Raw genomic sequence first — 26099 nt, forward strand, 5'->3', positions numbered from 1 at the left:
TTCCCATCTGAGACTTAACCGCTGGGACTGTTTTACATATGAAGATAAGAAAACAACCGAAACTTGATTTTGCTCTATGGAGATAAAAATAAGGTAGCATTTTATTCAAGAAGAATGTGTGTAATAACAGTAATCTGAAAATAATGATATCTATAAGGTCTTTGGCAAAGCCACCCAGGAAAAGAAAAACAATAGATGTGAAAGCTTCAGTGAGTCATAACACCACCTTTCAGCATCAAAATGCCCTGGAATCAGATTCAGATAAACTGGTTTCATCAGCTCTAGACTCAGCTGTATGCGTCCCTTTTTATTCCTTGTGCCGATTGCACATTCTCCAGATAATGGCAAGGTATTGGCTCTCCTTCAAAACACTCAATTGTGCAGCAGAGGAAAGAAAAGGATTCCTTGTAAGCTTTTTCATGTCTAAACACAAAAATAGCTCTCTTCCTGGGCCTGCCCAGTGGGCTTCCTTTCCCTCTGGACATCTACAGAGTACTGCTGACTGGACTAGTGTTCATCAAAGGTGGTCTGTGGACCACGTGTATTCGAATAGTTTAAAAGCTTATTTAAAATGCAGATTTCTGGGACTCACTGGAGACCTAGTGAATCTGATCTCCTAGGTAGAGCCAAGGACTGTGCATTTTTAACGGCTCCACACCCCAAGGATTCTAAGGCATCCTAGGGTTTAGGGGCCACTGGGTTTGTCCAGCCATACAGCCCTCACCTTATCCTGCTGCCTGCGTTGTCACTTGGCTTCCTACATTTGAGTGTCTCTTCTTCCCAGTGCAATTCTAAGCACAAGGGATGCGTTTGAAATTCTTTCTTTGTCCCTGTTAGTGCCTAGTTCGCTGTAGGTGTTTAAAAAATTTTTTTGTTGAATGAAGGACCTGAAATAATTTCTCTTTGCTTACAATTTGTTCAAAGAAACTCTTTTGCCTACAGAAGATTGGATCATGAATTTGCCAATTTGATTTCAAAACAAACGGATCTCTCTCTCTATAGACGTGTCTGTGTGTATGAGTGAATATTGCTCTCCTAAACAAATGTTTTGAGTCAAAGGTCCGCCTTTGTCCAGAAGAGGACAACAAAGGATATACCGTTGGGAAAAAAATTGTATAACTCAAAACGTGTAAGCAGTCTTTGCCCTTTCTGAGAACCACTGTCAGAAAAGCTCTGTGAAGATTTTAGGGTAAGGGGTGTCCTAGGGGAATAGGGGAGTGTGTGTGTGGTGTGGTTGAGGGGATACTAAAAGCCCATCTGACTAGCTGCACCTGGCTCTTTGGTCTGTCTCCATGTGTACAAATAAAGTCACTTTTCTTCAAGTCAAGGGCACAGCTCAGTGTATTAGAGTGTCTAACCCCAGAGATCAGGAAAGATATGTTTTGCCAGAGTTAGAGAGCCTGGGGCTGCAGCAGTGCTGGTGGCAGGTCTGGATGGGGAGTGAGGATCGAGTTGGGCTCCTGGTGGGGAGGAGAAAAGATCCCTGGAGAGGGCAGTGGGTGCAGGGCACGTAGAGCCAGCGCCTCCTCTTTCCCAGTCTTGTTCAGAGTTGCCCCTGAGGCAAAACCCAAGATGAGGCTGCACAACACATGTGAAGACGGGAGCATCAGGAATGAGAGGGAGGGAAATGGAAGTGAGAGAACAACTCCAGACTCTCCGAGTTGGATCTAACCTCACTTGGCTAGACCTGCCCTTGGGATTTTGGAATCTGATCTGCAACCTCCTGAACATCTTGTTTGAGGAGTCCTAGGGTAGGGATGCACACTCCCTCACAGCTACAGTAGGGATGAGAAAGTACGTTCATAGACTGAGCTGTGATCCACCTGCTGGTGATTTCTGCCCTTAGCTCATACCCTTCTCTTTCCTTCCTTTTCTGGACTCTACTTCCTGAGAGAAGGCTCTTTGTCCTCTCTAAGTTTCCTCTTCTGTAGGTTGAATTTCCCTAGCTACTTCCACTTCTCCTATGGTGTGCCTCCCTGCCGCTCTTTTTTCCATGCATGGACTTTCTAACCCCAGGCTGCCTCTGTCTTCCAGTGGGGCCCTCACTGTTTCTGTCAGCAGCACCTGCAATTTCTCAGTCAGCCAGGCTTGGACAATTGAACTTAGCCTTGCCTCCTTCTTCTCTCTTATCCTGAAGCTGTTGGGAATTGCGTGTGCACACGCATGTGTGTGTACACGTGTGTGTGCACAGTTCTCCATAGGAGGTTTGCACATTTGTGACTGTTTTTGTCCTGGAGAAGTCCCCAAGGCAGAAAGCAAAAATGTAGCTGGTCTAAGCTTGAGGTGGGTCATGCCTGTGGCTGGACTCTCTCAAGGAGAGCCTGAAAGCATGTGGAACTGCCCACCACAGCCGAGGCTGAAGCCAGAGGAGAGCTGCGGCCAGGGGATGTGTATAGCACCAAAAGTGGCTACTATACAGAACCCCACACCTGCTTAAAGCCTTGCCAAGATGTGTTTTCCATTGCTGTCAGGATGAGTTGTGTGTCTTATTTTTGCAGACAAGGCCTTTCCTGAATGATACAGTTTGGACATTTGTCCCTTCCAAATCTCATGTTGAAATATGACCCCCTGTGTTGGAGGTGGGGCCTGGTGGGAGGTAATGGGATCATGGGAGCAGACCCCTCATGGATGGCTTGGTGCAGTCCTTGCAATAGTGAGTTCTCATGAGATTTGCTTGTTTAAAAGTGTGTGACGTCTCCCTCTTCTCTCTCTTGCTCCTGCTCTCTTCATGCGACACACCTGCTCCCCCTTCACCTTCTGCCATGATTGTAAGTTTCCTGAGGCCCTCACCAGAAGCTCATCAGAAGCAGATGCTGGCACCACTCTTCTTATGCTGTCTGCGTAACTGTGAGCCAATTAAACCTCTTTTCTTTATAATTTACCCAGCCTCAAGTAATTCTTTATAGCAATACAAGAATGACCCAATACACTGACCTGGCTGCATGCACCTCTCTTCTCTTCTCTTCCACTCCTGAAGGACACTGTGCCACAGACATGCTGAGCAATATTCCAGCCATGCTGAATGCTTAATATTTCTTCTAACAGAACCTAATACACTAAGATGTTTGGTTCAGCCCTGTTGGCAATGGGATCCACCAGAGCTTCTGGAAGCAAGTGGGCAAGGGTTACTTGACCAGATTGATACTTTAGAAAGAACAAGGTAGTCTGAGGTTGGAGGATGAATGAAAAGGAAGTAGAGTGCTAGAAGAAATTCACTGTGGTTGGGCTTTATCCTGAGGGCAACGAGGGTGCTGTGGGTAGGTTTTAAGCAGGGAGGTGAAGGGATCATGCTGGCATGTGAGATGACTTGCTGCAGGGTAAGGCATGATTAAGGGTGACTTATTTGGTATGGAGATATGGGGAGAGGCAAGGATGATGTCCCAGTTTCTAGCCTGGGCAAATGAGTGAACCCTGTTGCCATTCACTGATATGGAGGTCAAGGGATGACGATCAGGTGGGGAGGGAGATGATGAATTAATTTAGTTTTGAATATTATGAGTTTTAGGTACTTTTGGAACATACAAATAGAGTTGTCTAAAAGTCTGCCCAAGAGAGAAAACTGGGCTTGAGTGATAGATATAGGAGTCCTTAAAGGAGATAAGTGGCCAGGTCCAGAGAGTGTGTTTATTGAGAGGAAGGCCTTGGACTGAACCCCAAGGTACACCAGGTTTCAGAGATGAGTAACCCATAGAGAAGACTGAGAAGGAGAGAAAGGTCAGAGGTAGGGAGGATAGACAGGGTTCGGTGTCATGGAAACCAAGGGAAGAAGCTTTCTCAAGGGACAGGCTGACAGTGTCAAATGATGCTGCAAGTTCGTGTGAGATGAGGATGGAGAAGAGTTTATTGGTTTTAGTAACAAGCAGGTGGATGGTGATACGGGTGGCAGGGGCTTCTGTGGAGTGATGAGGTCAGAAGTTGGTTGCAGTGGGTTGAAGAGTGTGTTGCAGTTGGAGATGTGGAGATAAAGGGTGCAGACACATTGTATTTTTGAACGTTTGGTTGTGCAGGAGAGGAGAGGCCAGAAGCTTGAGTGGAAGGTGGGTTTGGGTGATGGTTAAAAAATAATATTGTGAGACACTAAGTCTGGGTATGGTGGCTCACGCCTGTAATCCCAGCACTTTGGAAGGCTGAGGTGGGTGGATCACCTAAGGTCAGGAGTTCGAGACCAGCCTGGCCAATATGGTGAAACCCCATCTTTACTGAAAATACAAAAATTAGCTGGGTGTGGTGGCTCACACCTGTAATCCCAGCTACTCGGGAGGACGAGGAGGAGAATCATTTGAACCCAGGAGGCAGAGGTTCAGTGAGCCAAGATCGCACCTCTGTACTCCAGCCTAGGTGACAGAGTGCGACTCTGTCTCAAAATAATACTAATAATATTGTGAGACGCTAAAATGGTTTAAAAGTTAATATGGAGGATCCAGTAGAGATGGAAATGTTGACCCTACAGGGGAGGGAGAGAATGATACACACATTAGAGAGGTATCTGAAGAGGTGGTAGAAAGGAGGGATGGGATGCAAAGGAGCCTTACCCAGGAGTAGGGAGAGCCCTGTCACAGCGACAGGAGGGAGGGAAACAGGGCCAGTGAGGATGCAGGAAGGTAGTGATGAGACTCGGAAGGGGTTCCCACCAGGTGATTTAGTTTACTTTGAGAATAAGGGAACAAGGTCAGCTGATGAGGTTGACGGGGCAGAGGTAGCAACCTAGGTTTCAGGAGAGCAGAAAAGGTTTAAATAGCTGCTTGGGGAGCCAGAGAGCTGCTGAGGGAAGCTATGGGTTTCCTGGAAGTCCCAGAAGGCTCAGTTGACTTTAGGTGACCTTTCCATGGTCTCTAAGTAATCTCTGTCCCTTTCACATTCTCATGTGACTCATATTACCTGTACCTCTCTCAGGACACTTACCACTTTCTAACTCTTTATCCACTTGTTTGTGAGCATCTTGGCTCTCCTCTAGACTGTCCTATGCTCCACAAAGGTGGGCTTTGTCTTTATATGACTAACATCACTGTGATGTTGCGTTGCATGTAGAAGGGGTTCAACAAACATTTCCGGAATAATTAAGTGAGTGCAGCCTGACCCCGTAGGAGGTAGCAGGACACTTAATCTGTGCCAATGTTTATTTAGAAAGCAGGGATATATCTAGTGTGCTCTGAGAGCAAGACATGTTATTTCATAGCTGGAAATATAGATGTAGGGGTCATCAGGGTTTATAAATGGCCAAGTCCAGAGAAATTTGACTCTGGTATTCTATTCTTGTTTAGAAGCTCTGCAGTTCCTCACACCCAGCTATTGAATTCAAGCGATCCTGGAGCAGCATCCTCAGCCCTATCAGACCCAGCACTCTCTTTCACTAAAATAGATTTTGTAACTTCCATCACTTTCTTTAGATAAAATTCATTGATAATCTAACCCAACTTTACATATAATTTAAAAATTTAATGTAATGTCCTAACTGTAATAAAGAGGAGAAGTAAAAGGAGAGTAAATTATAATCAAAGAATACTTTTTTCAATGCTCAGGACTGTGGAAACTAGAAGAGAGCTTCTCAAAATTTTAAGTACATATGACTCATTTGGAGATCTTATTAAAATGCAGATTCATATTCAGTGGATCTGTGTGGTGCCTGAGATTCTTGTTTCTAACAAGATCCCAGTCAATGCAGATGCTACCAGTCTCTGGACCTCTCCTGTAGTAGCAGGGAACTAGGGCTCATGAAGAAGCCCTCAAAGCTTTCCTCTTCTGATAGTGAAGCACTTGGATTTAGGAGAAGTAAAACAACATTTAATCAAATATTGATGACATTTTATTTAGAGTTGGCATGTATAAAATAAGACATATATATATCATCATTATGAATGTAAGAGTTTCAAAGACAGCTTTATTCAGGTGTGTCCTATTGGTGACTCAGATACCATGATGTGACTTTTGGAAATGGTGACTAACCCTGGGGAAGATTTTAAACAAAACAAGGTAAATATTTCCCCAATTTTCACTGTAGTTTCATGATTGGATAATTCAGTATATATTGAATTGTGCAAAAAAATATTTTGTGTTTATATGCAAAACATAGTCTGAGAAAAATATAAATAGATTTTTCACCTATACGTATGTCAGGTGGGACTTCAAAGTCATGTAGGACATTGAACAATTCTTGGTTGGGACCACCTCTATGAGGCATTGCAGAATGTCTACAGCTCTGCCCCTGCCCAATAAATGCACCAGTGCTTCCCAATCATTGGAACAACCAAAAATATGCCCTCAAGTTTCCACAGTGCCCCACCCCTGAGAACCAGCAACCTAGAGGAACTGAGGAAGAAGAGCAACTGTAGGTGGAAGCTTCTGGAAGCACATGCATCAGAGCCCACTGCTGTTAGCAGAAGGTGCATTTCCCTGGGAAGGAGACACAACCAGATTGCTTCCACTAAGCCGACTTTGCAAATCTGCAACTGCTGAGTGGACACAAGTGGCTGGAAGCCATGCTGCATCACAAAGAAGATAGAAGTTACACACTTTCCCAAGGCAAGACATGATCAAGATGCTGCCTGAGAGGGAAGAATATATTTTTCTAGGTGCAAATTAGTGCCAGTGATGTTTCTGTTAAAACTCTCAAGTGAGCCCAAGGTTGTGGCTTTGTCATGCTTGTGTATTCTGGAGAAGAGCAAGAAGTAGGTAAGGTAGGGTCTGGCCCCTCCTGGATGCCAGCAACTTCTCCAGCTCCTTCTGATGCCAGGCCTCTTTGCGCTTACTCTGTTTGTTCATTTGTTTTTTATTTTGCTTTTGTGGTATCTAGACATTCTTTCAGGTCTCAGGGCTCTCTTATATACTGCTCTCTGTGCCTAGGATGTTCTTCAACTTTCTTATCTATCTCTAGCTACCTTGCAGACTAGTTTAAGTGACTCTTCCTCAAGAAAGCCTCCTGGACTGCCAAGACAAGGTCACAGACAATATCTTCTTTTAAGCTTTCATGTCAACTTGAACTTATGCTTTATAGCATCAACCACAATGTTAACTAAATAATAATTGGTACCTAAAGTCTGCTTTTGCTTCTAGATATGAACTCCCTGAGGGTAGAGACTGTGTCTGTCTGGTTGACCAGTTCCACTTGCCACCAAGCAGACACTCAATACTTTTTTGACGAATGCATGAGCGCCAAAGCAAAGGTGTTTTATTTATTTTTATAAATAATAAAGAGTGTTCAGGCCAGGAGTCTATAGGATTAAATTAAACTAAGAAGTACAGTGAGGCACAAGTGAGTTCTGAAGGAAAGAGGAAGCCATGGAATGTGGAGAAGTTGACTGGCAAGCATACAGCCAGCTGCTTGTCTTGCTGCAATCCCGTTGGGTGCAGTTTGGGTATATTGCATGCGCAGTGTCTGTATATCAGCTCCCTCTCAGAGCAGGGGCTGGAAGTGTGCAGGCAGAATGAGGTGACTCCTGAGGACCGGATGCAGGATCCCGGTGGACACAGGTCAGTATATCTGCTGGTGAGTCAGGAGGAACACACACTTTCACCCTGTTGGGAAGTACATTTGTAATAAGGCAGGACCCTGGCTTGCTTTCCAGTGTCTGTTGTTTCTGGACTTTGGAGAAGTTTGTTAATTCTCCTCTGCAGTTGCCTCATCTGTAAATGAGAACATTACCTATCTCAGAGATGGGCTAGCAGTATTTAAACACGGGGCCCATGCAAAGTCCTTTGTATGTTGTAAGGTACTATGTAAGTTATACTCAGCTGTGTGAGTGGCTGTTACTCACCTATGTCCTAAGCAGGCTCCCCAAGCTATCTGGAACACCCGCACTGAAGACAGCCTGCCCAGGATGCAGGATGCTGGTGTTCAGCGACAACGCCCTGCCACACTCCGCTCATATTCCTGAGTACCCACTGCATGCCAGGAACTCTTCTAGGCCTTGAGAATGCAGAGTGAACAAAGGAAAGTAGGCCGACTGGAGTTGGGTATGGGATTAGAGAGGGATGGAGATGGGGCTGTGCTATTTCAGCTGGAGCAGCCAGGGAGGTTGTGGCAACTGAGTGGAGATCTGAACAAAGTGAGTGAAGAGCCAGGTGCGGTGGCTCACACCTGTAATCCCAGCACTTTGGGAGGTGGAGGCAGGAGGATCACTTGAGCCCCGGAGCTTGAGATCTTGGGCAACATACTGAGACTCTGTCTCTCCAAAAGATTTTTTTTAAAAAGTTAGCTGGACATGATGGTGCACGCCTGTAGTCCTAGCTACTTGGGAAGCTGAGGCAGGAGGATCCCTTGAGTCCAGGAGTTCAGGGTGATAGTGAGCTATGATGTTGCCACTACATTTCAGCCTGGGCAACAGAGTGAGTCCCTGTCTGTAAAATTAAAAAAAATAAAAAAAAGTGAGTGAAGGAGCCATGGAAAAAATTTCCAGGATCTGTACGAGGTTATTATTTTATTTAATCCTTTTACTAATCCTGAAAGGCAGATATTTTACAGAGGAGGAAATGGAAGCCCCGAGCTGACCCAGCCTAGGGGCACAGGGCTGGGTCCATGCTCTTCCCATGCTCTGCTCCATCCTGTGCACTTGCTACTTCCTCCCTTTTCAGCCTCAGATGTCTTACTATGTCCACCTTATTCTCTTCCCATCAGCTTTATGTGATCCTTTCTTCATCTTTCTCTTTATTTCTCTTAAAAAATGAACAAAGAGAAGAAGGAGTAAAATAACCTGGTAACTTGATGGACACATATTCTCACTGAGAATGTTGTTTTTAAACTCTAAACTCATCCCATATGCATCCGCCTCGCTCCATCTCCCCACCACCTCCGAATGCAGGTTATCACCACCTTTTGCCAGCAGAGGCTCCTAACTGCTCTCTCTGCTTCCAATTCACTCTCTGTGCAGCAGCAAGGGTGATCTTTTAAAAATGTAAATTGGATCATGTCACTCTGTGCTTAAAATCCTCCAGTGGCTTCCCACTTGCACTCAGAATAAAATTTAAACTTCTCATCCTGACCTCCAACCTGGCACGATCCAGCCCCTGCCTACCTCTCCAACCTCACCTTGTCCCACCTTCCCCCTGTGCACTCTGTTCCTGCCACTCAGATCTCATTTCAGTTCCTCAAACATGTCATGCTCTTCCCCAACTCTGTACTAACTAACTTTTCCTCATTATTGAGTCTTCAAATTAAATGTCACTTATGCAGAGAGGCTTCCCCTACTCACCCACCCTACATTAGGTCTCTCTTGTTATTCTCTTTCAGCCTCCAGAACCTCTGGTAGACTAGGAAGCTATGAGGGCAGAGGCTGGCCATGGCAGGCAGGCTAACAAAGGACCTAAAGATCCCACCACTGGGTTTTCATGCACATGTGTGGTCCCCTCTCCTTCTGTGTCATCTGAATCCAGTGATTTGCTTTGAATCAATAGACTGCAAAGGTGACGGGATGTCATTTCTGCAATTAAGTTTCAAAAGATAGTGACCTATGTCTCGCCAGCAGACTCTTTCTACTACATTCTTTGGCATTCACACTTTGATGAAGCAAGTTTTGTACTGGAGAGACCCCTGTGGCAAGGAACCAGGGCTGGCCTCTGGTCAACATCCATCAGGGAAGTTCGGGCCTCAGTCCACCAGCCCTTGAGAAATTGAGGCCTTAGCACAGAACTTGGAAGCAGATCCTTCCCCAGAGGAGCCTTGAGAGGAGGCCACAGGACCTGGGCTGGCCTTAGACTGCAGCCTTGTGAGAGACCGGAACACAGAGGGTCCAGCTAAGCCATATGTGATTTCTGACCCACAGAAGCCGTGAGACAATCCGTGCTGTTTTAAGCTGCTAAACTGGGGTGATTTGTTACACAACAATTGATAACTAGCACACTGAGCATTCATTTGGAAATACTTGTTGAATGAATGAAGGAATGAATGGCTTAGTTGTGCCCTGAACCTCCTGAACAGGGATGGGGAAGCGGTTGTCCAAATGTGCCAAGATCTAGCCTGTAATCACCATAGCTCTCTGCTCTCACATGTCTTCTCACACAGACTGCATAACAAACCCAAACAGAAGGCCTATTGGCTTCCTGAACAGCTAGTTTCAAGCAAATGGTGTTACCTTTGACTTAGCTTTCTGAAAACTACCTCTTCTGCCTGTTAGGATTCAGTGGTCTCCTAATGAGATGGATTTCAAAACCCAACATGCATCTTTTCCAACAGTGCGTGCCTTCTCCAAGGGGAGAAATAACCCCACTCTTTTCCCTGGTTATCAATGATACCATACTCATGTGGCAGAGCCTCCAAAATGAATAATTCATGGTCTATGAGTACATTTCATGAATATATAGGATGCCATATAAAAATAACATAAATGTTTCCTAATAGAATTAATACACTTTCGAAGCAGTTCAGCTTGAGGCAATTATTGCACTTCCTGGGAGATACAAATTACTTTGCCCTCAGCCTCATGCCAAATAACCCCCCTAAGACACACACTAATTACACAGAAATACACTGCCTGCCATAGCTCATTGACTAATTGACAATCAGTTTAAAACTTCAGCAAAATATCTTAAAACTTAGGCTTTGCATTTAGCAAGGAAACCAATTTTGTTTATCTCCTCATTTTGGTCTGCCTCATTGGCAAAGTTGTAGTATGGTTGGTAAGTAATGACTGAGCAGGCTTATTATAATGATCAATGGTAAAAGAAAGCATTCCATCATACTGTATAGCATTTCCATCTCTCATTTCTGTGATTCTATTAAGAACAATTACCAATAATATATCCGTTAATGTGATACAAAAATAGAATGCAACCGTGTATGTAATAGTTATTGCTAATGTGCTCTGCTAAGCTCAGTGTACACTTGTCACTGACTCATGCACTATTAAGATGTGGCCTTTCCAAGCTCTACACCCTTTACATTCTGATGTAAGCACATGCACCCACTGAGTTCATGCTGTACCTACACACATTCCTTCTGCCTTAAAAGTAAGTCATGGACAAAAGTTAAATCCTTGGGAATCCTTCTTTACCATATCTTCTCTATTTACCAATCACTGTTAGAGACCCAACTTCTTTGTAAAGCTATGTGAGCCTACGTCTGCATAAATGTTGTTTCTAATCACCTTCATTATTCCGAGAGTTGACATACTATCAACCTTTGCTCTGGAGTTTCTGAAATAGTCCAATCTTAGAGGGGAAGTACACCCAAATACCAGACAACTGATTTATAATGAAACATCTGGGGGAATGACCAATTCACTCATTGGAGATTGCTGTTCTAGGTGCTACAGAACAAATCTGTAGGAGTTTAGAGTTACAGACGGGGCAATCACTGTGGGATTGCTGGACTGGCATTTCTCTTAGGATTGCATCTGGTTGCAGCCACGGAATGTCCAACCAGGAGTGGCTTGAACAATTTGGGATTTATTTTTCTCACAGAATGAGACTTCCAATGGCAAGAAACCAGGGGCTGGGGTTGTGGCTCAGTGACGATATCAAAACACCAGCTCCTTTTGCTTTTCTACTCTTCCGTCCTTTGCTTGTGGGCTGGTTGCCTCATGCTCTGGAAATGACTGCTGCAGAGAAGCGGGGCAGAGTCTGCACCAAGCTGCCTTGAACATGTCTATTGGGAAAGCACATGCTCGGCCCCGAACCCTCATCAGACTTCAGCTTAGGTCTCGTTAGCTAAAACTGTGTCCCACTGGCCTCACTTGGCTACAGGGGAGGCCTGGAAACAATAGTTAGTTTGGGCACAGGGCTGTCCTAATAAACAAGGTTTCATTAGCAAGGGGTGAACGAAACTGGAGTGGGCCATGAATGGGTCTGTCATTGCTGATAGAAGATGGGATATCTAGCTGCAGTGTGAGGGATGGGTAAAATTGAGGTAAGAAACAGAAGAGGAAAAGTGGTCCTTGGTGGAGTTAGAGTGAGAGTAACTCTGGGAAAAGAAAGAATAGCAGCATGTCTAGGAGACTGTGAGAACATTGCTCCAGGAAAATTTTGTTCAGAGAGGGTGGATAAAGGTCAGATGTGTCTATAAATCAAACAACTGATTTATAATTGACCCTGTGAAGTGTGTCCAGTTCCTGAGGCAGCCCCCTATCCTCCCCTACTCTTAACACACACACACACCTCATTCTCACTCCCAGGGCCATCATGGGCAGGCTTAAGTGGACTTTCTGACCAAAGGGAATAAAATCTTAAGGGATTCTATGGCCTGCATTTTTGCCTTTTCCCCAAGCCAGAGATTCTCAGCATTGGCTATATATCGGAGTAACATGGGGGAAGTTTTAAGCACTTTGATGCCAAGGTCACATCCCAGAACAATTAAAGCGAACTCTAGGAGTAGGCTAAGTATGTGCTGGTAAAAGTTTAATAACCAGCTCTCTGGAAAACCAGTGTTCATGTATACATGTAGATAAATTTATTATAATTTTACTGATGAAAAGGATGTATGGTATACAACTTACAAATAATAATGAAATATACAATACTCTTTATTATAGAATGCTCTCCTGCAACTTGAGTCTCAGGTAATGCTTTCCTGCATTTTTGCTGAACTCTTTTGTCTGTAGTTAACCTAGGGCTGCAATTCAACCATGATTTGACAAAATCAGTCTACAAATAAATGCTTGACTACTGTCCAAATTCAGTCACTGACCCATGAATGTAGTTTCAACATGAATGTTGGTTGATATTTTCATTTACATTAACAGATAACATGAAAGTAAAACAATGAAGATGTATGTTGGAATTTTACTTGTTCATTAATCACATGAGAGACTTCTTTGCTGATGAGGTAATAGTTTTCAACACTGGGAGAATATTTTCTCAGTTTTCTGTGCTATTTATAATGTAATAGTTACAGACACAATGTACATTAAGTTTAATTTGCATTATTAACATTTTCTTAAGTATAGACCAGGGCTTGGCAAAGTGTTGCAATAAAGGGTCAGATAGTAAATATTTTATGCTTTGTGGACCACAAATGATGTCTTCCTCCTCCTCCTTCAAAAAAAGAATCCTTTAAAACTGTACAAACTTGTAGGACATACAAAAATAGACTTCAGGCTAGATTTGACCTGTGGGCTGTAATTTGCCAACCTCTTATGTAGACAATCAACAATACGATAAATCAAGCCCTGATTTATAGTGTTTGCTAATTTCTGTCGATGTGATGGCACTGACCATGGAATTGGGAAGAGATACATAACAACACGTCTTAATATAGTGTTGCCACCATTCAGATGTGGTAAGCAACCTCAAAAGCATAGGAGTAGTAAAATTATTATGAAGTGATAAGTTTTGAGTATTTATTACCTTTATTTTCAATGACTTATTTAATTATAAGCTTATGTCTTTTGATCTTTAATAATGACTGTGTTTAACAATTGGCTCTGAAAATTCCTGAAAATTTAACAGCCATCTTTTCTGAGCTGGGAAGAACTGGCTCTAGCACACCACTGGGTGGACCCAGGCATCATGATTTTTTTTAAGCTCCCCAGGGGTTTCCAAGGAACAACGACTGCTGTCAGTACATCTGGCCCCTTAAAGACTAGAGCAGAATACCCAGGGGTGTGGTTTTTTGGTTTCTTCCCAATCTGTCAATCACATTTTCTAAAGTCTGATTAATCTGTTCCAAGTTTCTCTCTCTTCCTATCCCTGGAATAAACCCCTGACATCGTCCCACCAGCCTCCCCAAGCCTCTGTGGTCTCCCGCTCTAATTTACCACTCTTGCTACTTTTCTGTCTGAGCAATTCACCAGGCTCGGTCTTATTTACTTGCAACTCTTGGGCTGAATACTGCAGCTTTCCTCCTTGAACCAGTGCCTGACACACAGTTAGTGCACAACAGATATGAGAACCCAGGTTCTATCATGGCTGCATGAGCAGGAGAGGCCAGGTCAGGAAGGGTTTTTGTATGACTCATTGGCCTGTTGTACCTTTTTTTTTTTTTTTAAGACAGAGTCTTGCTCTGTCACCCAGGTTGGAGTGCGGTGGTGCGATTTTGGCTCACTGCAACCTCCGCCTCCTGGGTTCAAGCAATTCTCTTGTCTCAGCCTCCTGAGTAGCTAGGACTCCAGGCGCCCGCCACCATGCCTGGCTAAGTTTTGTATTTTTAGTAGAGATGGGGTTTCACCATTTTGGTCAGGCTGGTCTTGAACTCCTGACCTCAGATGATCCACCTGCCTCGGTCTCCCAAAGTGGTGGGATTACAGGCGTGAGCCACCATGCCTGGGCTGGCCTGTTGTATCTTATGCTCATCGCAGCCTTCCCCCTGCCCTGGTCCTCAGGCATCCCTGCAGGCTTTTGCTCAGCTAGCTGCTGAGTCATGTGGTCTGTGAAGACTGGAGAGCTGCAGGAGAAAAGAAGCCCTGAGAGTCCTCACCTTCTCTTTCTGCTTTGGCAGCATCACCAGCTGTGGCTGGGTCTTTTTTCTGGACTCCAGCTCCTGTCGAGAGACCCCTGTTATGATTTTGGCTCCCCCGGACAGCCCTGGCTCCTGGGCTTTGGTGACATCACCTCTTTCCTTTGACCCTCAGGCCTCATTCCTGGCTTGCTGCTGGTGCTGATCTTTGGATTGCCTTACCATTGCCCTTGTCATTTCACCTCTTTCTCCACCTTTGCAACAACTCCCCTGTATTAAATTTCCCCTTCAGCTCTTTTGTTAATGGGGCCCTGGCAGATTTAGCCTGAAATGCTGCTCTGAGGAGTCTGGGTTTCATGCTTTCTGGTAGTTGATTTGACATCAGGAGAGGCTTTTGAGAAGGACGTGATATGATCAAATGGAGCAAATGGGTGTTTGATATTGGGGGTTTCATGGATGCCCTAGAAAATTTGTAAATAGCCTTTAAGTGTCTATGAGCATGCCACAGTTGTCTGAAATTTTATGCATATGTGCAGAAGTGACTTTTTTGTGTGTGTGGGAAGAGATCCTATAGCTTTCATCAGATTCTCTGTGGGATTTTAGAATATCCTAAGAACTACTGGACTAGAAGTAGGATCAGTTAGCAATGCAAATCACTCAATGCATCAGAGTCCCAGCAGGAAACAGAACTCACTGGAGATGGTTCTGCTGGAGACTTTAAAGAAGGGGCTACTTCAGAAGTGTGGGCAGAGGTAGGTGGACAAACAAGAGATGGGAGGCACCCCAAGTTTAGCACCAGTGGGGAGCTGGTATCCCCAAGGATGAAGGGCCAAGGGGAGGAAACTGAGGGACTGGGGCCCATGATAGTTGGAGCCCTGGAGGAAGAGCCTCTCGGTGGAAGCAGGAGTGCTGGAGGGACACAGTCTTCTTCTGAGATGGGGAGTCCAAGCAGGGGACAAGGACACAGTGTAGCTTCTCTCTTCCCACTTGACTGGCCATTAGTGCCTCCCCTCGTCTCTAATACAGTTGGAAGCCAGCAGCCAAGGGTGTTTGGGTGATGTGGTCTGTGGGGTCAAAGTGGGGGAGAGAATGCAGTAAATGGGTAGATTCGGACAGAGCAGGGTAGACGGAGAAAAACCAACATTCACAGAAAATACGTTACTTAGGACTTCCAGCATTGTGCAAGAAGGAAATTGACAGAAGTCATGTTTGGTAGTTGCCGGCATCATTCCTCACGTTCTGACTTCTGGATTCTGCTTTTCATCAGTCCCTTCTGCACTAACTTGCCCAGCCTAGTAAAGTCATATAAAGAGAAGCAAAATTCAGAGGATTCTTTTGTTGTTGTTGTTAACCTTTTCCTTCCACTGCTACTTACAAGCTCTCTGACGTTGGAAGTCACAAAAATGTCTCTGAGCCTCATTCATCAAGTATGGAAGAGGTTGGGTTTGATGTTTTGCATTGTGCCTTCTGGCTTGAAGGTTTTATGATGCTTTAAGAGGGTCTTTGGCTTCCTCCTTATGAAAGGCATGTAGTGCTCTGGCCCCTTCTAAAGGGGTGAGCCGCCTTCCCTTGCCCGTTGTCGCCTGCAATGGTTTGAAGGCTGGAAGAGAGCACAACAGCAGTACCCCAGTCCTCCAAGGAACAGACCGCAGCAGGTTATTAGCATTTTATCGACTTTGGCTCTGCTGTTGATTGTCAGGATCTGTAGTGAAATACTTTAATATACATTTGAGTCTAAGTGTTACCCAGGCCGAAGGAGCACTAATTTTGAAGATATGTTTGCATTATAGCCTGTGTTCTAGAGAGACCCAATATAAAGAAACACACCCAGCAACTCTGCTTACTCGGCTGGTGGAGGGAATTGAGGATTGTTGCTGAAGGGAACTCACTTTTGTATGCATTTCAGAGATTTAATTTTATTAGCCAATGCAAATGATCTGTTCCACAAATGTAAAACAAAAGGACAAGAAAATGATCCCTGTGTCAACATCAGGATGTCTGACTTAAAATCCCATTCGAATAACTCCCTAAAAATGATCAGACACTGAATACATTATTTTTCTGACTTTGACAAAACTAGTCTGCACAAAGAAGCAGCCCCATGAGGTTACGGATAAACCAACCACCTTAAAACTTCAGCATTTTCATGTCAGTCACAGATTTTCTTAAGGGCCAACTCACTGTTTAAGGACTAATGTGTTTGGAGAGGGAAAAAAACCACACTGTGTTATTAAGCAGAATCCCCTTTACATACAGGGATCGGATCAGTTTGCCCGGATTGTGTTGCCTGCTTTATTGTCCTACTTCAAACACGGGGCCCTGGGCATCATCTCGAGGAAGGGCTGATTGAACTGTCGGCCTGACACTTGTCAGCTGTGGATAATACGGGCTTCAGTCCGTCATGCTCACACATAAATGAACCATGACAGAGATAGACTGTTGAATAGAAAAAGCAGTTTTACTGTGGATAACCTTTCTTGAATAAATGCAACAAATAATAAAGTCTGAAAAGGGGGAACATGTACCTTAGGAAAGCAGTGACGTTCAGAACCAAACGGTTATTATCTTTTTGGGCCATCAAAAATTGCCCATTTATCCAAGTACATTATTGAGAGAAAAGCTAAAAGTGCTATGATTATCATAAAAATGATGGCAGTTGAATCTATGCAGTCTTCAATATTATATCACATAACAAAACCTAGTTACAGCTCACCAGGATTGAAAAAGGAGGCATTGTTTGTGTACCAAATGGAATCCACAATTGTTCTTAGAAAATGGTGGCACACATCTTAATTAAAAGAGCAGAAAAAGAATCTAAAGCTCTTCTTTATGTCTTTAAAACACTTCTCCTTTTTTATTAAAAGAAGAAAAAAACAGAACTCCCAGTAGAAATTGTGGAAACTCTACATTTCAATCAAGACAGTCAAAAGAATGATTTGAATTTACAGGCCTGTAATTGGAACAAATTGGAAACAAAAGAAGAGCTCGTTTAAGCCACGTGATGTGGCCACAGTGCTGCCGTGTACAGTATGTTAGAAAAAAAAATCATGTTTCTTTAAAGCAAAGCTAACTCCACTGCAGGCTCTGAGCAATTTGCATAAATGTCTCTACCATGATTTTTTTTTTATTTATGGGCCCTAAGTTTCTAATTAAATACTAATTAATACTATCACCAGAATTGTCTCCCATCCCCAGCTCTTCATAGCTTTGTCACTTTGATTAATGCACAGTCATTTATTAACTTATTTAACAAGCCGGGGTGCCTCATGACAAACTAGATTAAATTATCCTCATAACAGTCTCATTACTGGAAAAAGGGAGTTTTAAACTTAATAAAAATTATCCTCAATAATGTTAAAGCTTTTTCACCATACCCTTAAAAGACAGAAATAGGTTTCTTGTTTGATTTATAATATAAGGAGTTGTATAAAGCATCCATTAATAAAATTTATAAGTTCATTTAAGCTTGCACATTACAGTAGTGCTGTAGCCTTGGGTGCTTATTATTTAACTTTTGCTGTAGTTATGAAGATAATTAATGTGCTGACCAGACAGGGACTAAAATACCCACCAGAACAAGATAATTAGAGACATAAATAATGTTTAGGTTCTTGTGTGCTGCTCTTAAAATTAATTGTTTTGTTTTCCATCCAAACTTGATAAAGAAGAAAATAAGAGTTTACCAAGGAACTGTACGATGAAGGTGAGATGTTTGTTTCGGTGGACTGGCAAATGCTAGCAAGTCTGGCAGTTTTTGGGCTGGAGGAGGGAGCAGATGTGTCAGGGGATTTGGCTCCTTCTGGGAAACTGTTCGACCCTCATTGCTCTCTGTCGCCCTCTGGTGGCCAGGTCCTGGTGACACGCACACCTTGCAGCCAGGCCTGTTTGTCAGTGGTAGGCGGAGGGGTGAGGCAGAAGTGGGAGCTGGAGGAAGTCTCTTCATTTAAGTGCTGGGATAAACTTCTCATCTCAGTCAGATTCCAGGAGAAGGGGGGCCCCAGAGGGAGCTCAGCATATCTATGGCAGCAAATCTTCCTTGCTGACAAAGCAGAATCCAGGAAGCTGTGGCTCACTCAGGCCCTGCCGGTCTCAAAATAAATAGGCACAAACGCTTTAAAACATGCGTGGAGCGCTGACCCTCCATGGGGCTGTGTGCTAAAATAAGTGTTCAGCATGTTCGGAGGGCAGATTCTCTTTTTATTTTCAGTTTCTTGCTAAAATAGCACCCTTGTTAAGGGTCTAGGTGACCCGGTAGGAAGAGCAGGGAAAGGTATCTGCTGACGGAGGGTCTACTGTCTAAATTTCCTTCTGGCCTGGGCCGTCCTGAGTCTTTGGGTGGGGTTGTGGGAAAGGCGCAGTAGCTCCCTGGTCAAACAGGGAGCTGCCACCCTGTGTAGACAACACTTCACCACTGACAAGGCACCTTGGCATGTATCGTGCTGTCTTCACCCCTCCAGAGCCCTGTGAGACCAGAGGGAGGGACTGTTACTATGGTTGCTGAGGGGTCACGTGCTGATTTCAATCCACAAACCGGCCGGCTGGTGACTTCCTTGCCGGGAAGAGCACCTGGCTCCTTTTCTTTCGGTATCTGAAGTCCTTTCTGCTTTTCCGCACCTCACCCCCAGTTCTTCTCTCTCACACCCTCCTTCTCCCGCTCACCTTTTCTTTTTATCCTTGATTCAGAGCAGAGATAACAATAACTCTACTTGTTCTCATACTAAAATAGCTCACTTGTCAAAGCTGCAGGGAGACTGGTGCCGCGGAAATTCTGTGAGCAGAAGAATGGCTGGGAGAATTTTCTCCGAGTTTAGATTAGAGCGCTTCATGGTCAGAGTCCTCTCCCATTCACTCCCATCCCTGGGAGGTAAAAAGACAGCAAACGTCTTCATGATTTATAACTCTTGTTTAGCATTGATTCAGAGCTCCATCTTTGCAAGTCTATTAGTAGAGACCTATTAGTGGAGGTTGGCTTTGGCCAAAAATAGATCAACGTTAGGCCAAATCTTAGCTACCTGATTCATTCAGTTTCCTCCAGGCAACTTCATTTGAATTCAGGGTATTAGGTTCCCAGGCTTGCCCAGGATTCTGCTTGGGCAAGGAGGCCAAATTAAATGAAACAGGGCCTCTAGGAGCCAAGTGAGGGGATGTCCTAGATTAAAATAAAAGCGCAGGAAGAGAAGAGCTCTCGGTCGGTGAAGGAAGGTGAAGGCCCAGGTGATCTTATTCCTGTCTGGGTCCTTCCACTGGAGTTCCCACTGGCTTCATCATGATGGCCTCAGGAGTGGAGGGGCAGAGGGGAATGGTGGCTAGATGGATGCAGGCCACAGATTAGGGATGCATAGTTGGGAAGAACACAGGAGAAGAAGAGAGAGTTTTTCAGTGGTGCTCAAACTTTAATGGGCAAAACTTTGTTTAAATGCAGAGTCCCTTGCTCCAGTTTCAGACTTGCTAATTCTCTTAGTCTGAGATGACACCAGGAATCTGCACTGATAACAGGGCTTTAGTGACTTTGATTCAGGGGTCAGTCCATGACCAGTCATTAAGAAACACTGGACGAGGAAGGGAGAAAGAGAAGATAAAAGAACTGTAGGAAGTGAGGGAATTTTGCCTAAATCATGTTTACCTCCTGAGAAAGTGCCATAGCTGTCTTCTCTCTCTCTCTCTCTCTGTGTGTGTGTGTGTGTGTGTGTGTGTGAGAGAGAGAGAGAGAGAGAGAGAGAGAGAGAGAGAGACAGAGAGAGACAGAGAGAGACAGAGAGAAAGAGATGCCCTCCATGGCCAGAGAGGAAGGTAGGTCAAACACATATCCTTGGCTCTTCCAGCACCTCTCGTTGTGCTTACCCTGGAGGCCCTGCTCAAATCCAGTCTACATTGTGTCCACTGGAGGCTGCTCTTTAAGCTCTGTCACTCTCCTGCTCACCCCTTTGCTCTGACAGCGGCATCCTTCTGTGAGGGGACATCTGAAGGAAATGGGGGTACAGCTGTGCCCTGAGCCAGGGTTGCTGCCAGCATTGAAGAGAAGATTGAAAGAGCCCTATTTCCCACCTCCATACAACCTTCTGGAATAGTCAAGTGCCAAAATGGCCTTAATTAAACTGCCTCAGGCACATTCTGAGGGCCAGTCTATTGCTTGGGCCATTATGGGCAGACAGAGGTGCTGTGAGGGTAAGGTACCCTCACACAGCTTCAGAACTAAAGGCGCCCCAGCTGGGATGTCCTGACCTGTCAGGGCTCTCTCTATTGTTCTCTTCATGCCTTGGTAACCACGTAGGCAGAGCGATGTGGATGCCACATGTGTGCACAGATCAATGCATTCATGGTCACAGGCAAGTGCCAGGCACTGTGCTGGGTGCTGGCAATAGATGAAGATGAAAGACGTTTTCTTGCAAACTAGCTTCACTGTTGCCCCTTGAAGGCTCTCAGTGACATTGCCCTGAGCTGAAAGAGTATATCCAGAGGTTACTGGGACTGAGTGTGTCTTCTAACACCACTTAGACACCTGGCAGAGAACAGGACACTCATGACTAGACTGGCTCAGGGATGGCTTTGTAGGGTGGATGTGACAGAAGGAGAAGAGAGTGATAGGGTTTAGGGCTGTGGTCCCTAAACTGGAGTACACACACCCTCAGGGGCTGTACAAAATGCTCCAATGGGAATGGGCAGAAAATACTGAAATGCTTATTATATTGGCCTTCTAAAATCATGTCATTTGTGCCTTTCCATTTTCGTGATATGTTTTAAAATGAAGAAAATGTCAGCCCAGTAGTAAAATGTATGCGATTTATGAACATATTGGGGCTATGTGCTCGATTCTTTTCTTGCTTCATTGCTGGCTGTGCACTACGAAGCAGGTTCATAGGCTGTTGGTTTAGGAAGGGGGCTATTGTAAAAAATGGGGCTGAAGTGCTAGGCCCTGGAGTGTAGGTGGGAGGGGGAAGGAAGCAAAACCAAAAGGGGGGGATGAGAGAATGAGGAAATGGGAAGAGCAGACATGGACGGGCTCAGGGAGATTGAAAGTCAGGGGCAGCGGGTTGAAGGGAACCGGGATCTCAGTAGAGGAGGCTGTGATGAGGCTTCAGGATACAGGTTGAGAATATCTCAGGTGGGACCACTCTAGGCCATTCGCAGGTTAGGGGTGTCACCAGGTGAGGGAGGGAAAGAAAGGGACGGCAAGTGTATTGGATGTGCTGCCCACAGGGAGGGACATTAAAGTGCCCACCCTGATGGCAAGATCTAGGACAGAAAAGAAGACAGTAAGTTACCAAGGTGTGAGCGGAAGGTTCAGGTGGTTTTGGGCAACCAGGTGGCTAAGAGAGGGTGGGGGGGGTTTACATACAGGTAGAAGGACACAAAGCCCTTTCCAGTCCCCAGGAGTTTGGGGCCATGAAGCGCTCACTACCTGGGGTAGGCTGGGCAGCACCCGGGAGAGCCACGGTCCCTGCGGTCACAGGAAGAGGATGGAGTGCTCCGCCCTCCCCACGAGCTTGGTTGCGTTGCTCACCCTGGAACCAAGGTCCCAGAGGGCACTGGAAGAGCCTTTGGATGTGAGGGATGCAGCGGGAGTGGGTGTCTCGGTGGTCAGAGCAGCTGGGGGGAGCCTGTGGGAGGGGAAGGGACAGCAGAGGGCTGCTCACACCGCCTGCGCCTCCTGTGTGCGCTGCCTCTACATGCTCTGCTTGGGATTTGTGGAATCGATTTTGTGAGCGTCACCAGCTTTTTAACAATATTATTATTTTAAGGAATGTACAAATGTCTTTTCATTCAAAAACACAAAATAAGTTATCAGTAGGCATGGACAATGACAACTACAAACCATCGTATACTTGGCCAAACGGAACCCTTTACTGAAACCTGTAACCTTTTCTTTAATCTCTTGTTTGAAGTGATTTCTCTAAGATTATTGGTGAGAAGCACAACTCTGAGCTTCCCGTAACAGTTCCTGAGTAGTGATAAAGCACTATTTAAGGAGTTAGAACTCGCTGCCTCCCATGCCACCTCCACCCAGTCTGCCTGTGCCAGGGTCCTTCTCTTTAGGATCTTCCTGACACCTTCTTCTCTGTTTCAGGCAGAGAAGCAGCAGCCCTACCTACCATAATAGTGACAATGATGCCTGTCCCCCTCCCCACCATCCTCTCCCCTGTGCAGCCAAAGATCTCCCCGCAGGGCTTCACAACTAACTTCTGAGGGGCTTCACACAATGTTCTCAGCTGTCAGGGATCTTCCTAACGTCTGCTCTTGTCAAGGTCACTGCAGGCATTTTGAATTGAATGTTTTATAAAACAATTTCTGTATCAGTTTTTTGATCTTTATTAGTTGCAGTTCATGAGTCCCAAATTGGAATACGCTGAAACCAAGCCCAGCCACCTCTTAGAAAGAAACCTCCTTCAAAAGCAGCTGGAACCACCTTGAGTGTCTCTGGGGCTACTTCTTTTTATTCACTCGGCCTCACCTGTCCCACCAGCCCTTGGCATGGCTGTTCTACCTGAAATTTTTGCTATGTGTTCATTCATACTCACTAGCATTGACCTTTCTTGAATGTATTTTTCCATTTGAGGCTCATCACCTTTCTTTTTCAAAGGCATGGTGGCATCATCTTTGGTCACAATGACTTCTACTTTTTCGAGGCTGAACATCTTCAAGATTTAGAGTGAGCCCCTCCTCTTCAAACACCTGCAAAAACATTTAAAAATAAGCTAGTTTCAGGGTATGGTTTTTCTTTAGTCTACCAAATTTATTCATAATACATTATGCAGGTGTTTTGAATGGAATCCAGAAACCTCTTTAGATACCGTATTTCTCTGAAATGTGAGAATGGAAGATCATTGCTATTCCAGGACAAGTCTTGTGCATAGAGCTTTTTATTGCTTTAATTTGCATTATTTCATTTACTCCTCAGAACTCTGTCAGTTAGTAACAGCTTGATCATGCAGATGAGTTAACGGAACCCAGAGGAAACTCGCCCAAAGTTACACAGTTAGCAGTTGGTGGAGCCAGGACTAGATGCTGGGCCTTGACTCTCAGTCCAGTGTTCTGTCTACTAGATCATTCTGTCTTTCAGATCATTCTAATCTGAGGACAGGTAGACAGGAAGATCATTCCTGATCAGGAGCATGATGCTTAGACCTAAAAGGGACCCTGTTCTGTATCTAATTCAACCCCCGTCCTCCTAAATATTCAGTGGATGTATCTAACTAAGAAAAATGCAAACTATAGGACTGTATACCTATAAATGTTATCCCTGGAAAGAAAAGTAACATTTGGTAAATGTACAAAAAATATGGGAAAAATTTGCATGTTATCCTTGTGCAGGGGCCATGCTAATCTTCTCTGTACGGTTGCAGTTTGAGTCTATGTGCTGTTAAGCAATCTCCAGAATATTTTAAAATGAATCTACGACAATAGAAAAGATCAAAGTGTGTCACATAGTAAGCATTGTTTTGTAAAACGTTTGTGTAAGTTGCATACATGTGTGCACGTGTGTGGATCAGGATGTAAAGTTTCCTTCTGACTGTGGGTTGTGCCAGCAAATGTTGGGAGCCACTGGTATGGTGGAAGGAGCCTTGGAAGTGGGTTCAAATACTTAGTTCCAGTCTCTGCTCTGCCAGCAACTACCTGTGTGAGTGTGGCCAAGGAAATTAACCCCTCAGGTACTCCATTTCCTTATTTTTTAAATGAGCAGTTTGGACGAGATTATTTTTGAGATCCATTCCTCTCAGATTCTATCAGTCTGGGGGTTCTTTCATGGCATTGCTGAAACACAGAAGTCTTCCAAATGGGGAAGGTGGGTGGAAAGAGGGGACAGGCTCAGAACAGCAAGCATGAGCCAGGTGCAGCCACGTGACTTTGCCCAAAGCAGTTGCTGCCAGTGCTCATGCTCACTGCCTGTCATCATATTGGTGGCACCCCTAGATCCTGCTGCCATGAGGGTGTGAATGATGACCATGGTTAAATCCAAATTGGAGCCTGTGGATGGCAGTGGAGGTGAGGACTGCCAAACGTATGCACCTGGTCCCAGGCTTGGCACTGTGAGGGCTCAGAAGCAGTTCTTAACGACAAGCATGATAAATACTCCAAGTGGGAAGCAAAGGAAAGGCAACTTAAATAGAACAAGTTGAAATTTAGGAGCCGTATTCCCTCTACAATCTAAGTGGCCCTGGAGTAATAAAGAACTTCTTTGGAAAAAAAAAATAAGGGAGGGGAGAAATTTCAGCAGATAAGCAATGTGAAATTCCTACTGTAACTCCTTATCTGTTGTAAACTAGCGTTTAGTTTTCTATAAAGAGCAGGGACCTGTTCTCACTTTTCACTCATTTGATGGGTAAGATGCAAAGTTAATTTCATGGTGGTGAAACACCCAAGAGGTTGCTTGCTTTCCGTTAATATAGAAGACATCTTTGACATTAACACATAGGAGATTTACATATATATATACACACACACACGAGAGCTGATAAATGCATTAAATGCATAAATTATTTATTGATCTTGAGACAGCATACAACATGACAAGAAATGAGATATATCTGTGTGATATGCTTGCACATGTAGAAATTGAAGGAGTATATTTTTTTCCTCAGGTAGAAACATAATTCCAGAAAACATTCTGCCTTTGAAGAACAAAAGTACAAAGATGTTCCAACAGTTGAAGGTTATAGTTTTGCAAAATTGCTTATTACTCATTGCATTTGGAAACAGGGCATGGAGAAGACAATCATCTTTCCCAGCCTAAATCTCTTTAGCATGCTCCAATTTCATGTCACCCGCTAGGTAAGATTTAATAAGATGTGTCTGTTGGCCTGCACAAAATCTGGTTGACAAGAGCCTTGTGTGTCATGATGCAGATCAAAAGTGGGCTTGGTTGTTGTTGAGCACGGTGTATTTTTAAAGAAATAAATTAATAATTTAAGGCCTTTTAGAACTTGTGGAGGGCACCGAACTGACAGCTTGGGGGCGGGGCCTGTCTACTGCCCAGAAGCATCATGGGTGCAAGTCTGGAAGTGTCCCCACCCAGCCCACAGGACAGCCTCCCCCAGTCTTCCTTCCACGAGACCCAGGAGAAAATGTAGCATGGTGGGTGGGTCCCAGCATGACCTGGGGTGTGCAGGAGGCACTGCTGGACAGAATGGGGAGGAAATGCGCTTGTCAGCCCCTCCTTTTGGGTAGGCGGCTGGGGAGATTTAAGAGGTGAGTACATTTCTGGTCATTACCCACCACTGCTGGAACTAAACCCAGGAACCTCATGTAGGAAGTTGGTGTAGCCACTTCTTCAGATACTCTGTTTACTTTCAAACTACAAAAACGAAACAAAATCCAAAACCAAAACAAAAAATAACTCAGAACGAAGTCTCAACAACAACAAAAAAGAAAAAGTCCACAGTCTGTGCTAACCAAGTGGCCGTTATTTTGGGCTGTGGCTGGGCTGGTGAGATGCTCTTTGGCCGTCTGTCACTGTGCACAGCAGTCTGACTGGAATTTTAGTGAGCCAGGAAAGGGATGGCTATATTTGGCCTCTGGAAGGGAAGTTGCTGAGATGGAGACCGTGCTTTGGGTCATAGGATTTGAGCCAGCAGGAGGGGAAGCAACTTGCCCCATTTCCCATTTTCAGCTGAGGAAGTGGGTGGGACAACACAGCCAAAACCTTTGTCAGGAGGAGGTCTCTAGGTGAACACACCACGCTGTTCCCAGAGGAGCTTGTTCCAGCCCAAGGAAACCAGCCTTGGTCTGACTGGCCCAGATGAGTGTGGGCTCAGCTATAGTGCCTGTAAAGCAGGATTATCGT

General features: G+C 44.7%; 2 long non-coding RNA genes and 2 pseudogenes across 5 annotated transcripts in view; 1 reads left to right on the top strand and 3 right to left on the bottom strand.

The window, feature by feature from the left end:
- The window catches only part of LINC03122 (long intergenic non-protein coding RNA 3122), a 93238-nt gene that overhangs the window by 2794 nt on the left and 64345 nt on the right, over nt 1-26099 (top strand). For 3 of the 4 annotated variants that reach the window (NR_161251.1, NR_126524.1, NR_126523.1), the window contains exon 2: nt 2774-2847. The exons of the other annotated variant lie outside the window; for it this stretch is intronic. This is a non-coding gene — a long non-coding RNA (long intergenic non-protein coding RNA 3122). The remainder of the gene's footprint in view (nt 1-2773; nt 2848-26099) is intronic. 4 annotated transcript variants of the gene reach the window in all.
- Nucleotides 22293-22739, bottom strand: HSPD1P22 (heat shock protein family D (Hsp60) member 1 pseudogene 22; annotated as a pseudogene).
- Nucleotides 22604-26099, bottom strand: part of LINC03152 (long intergenic non-protein coding RNA 3152) — a 35276-nt gene continuing 31780 nt past the window's right edge. Inside the window, exon 8 of the long non-coding RNA NR_109910.1 lies at nt 22604-22990. This is a non-coding gene — a long non-coding RNA (long intergenic non-protein coding RNA 3152). The remainder of the gene's footprint in view (nt 22991-26099) is intronic.
- RNU6-913P (RNA, U6 small nuclear 913, pseudogene) lies at nt 23592-23686 on the bottom strand (annotated as a pseudogene).

Source organism: Homo sapiens, chromosome 5 (assembly GCF_000001405.40).
Source record: "Homo sapiens chromosome 5, GRCh38.p14 Primary Assembly".
Classification (NCBI taxonomy): domain Eukaryota; kingdom Metazoa; phylum Chordata; class Mammalia; order Primates; family Hominidae; genus Homo; species Homo sapiens.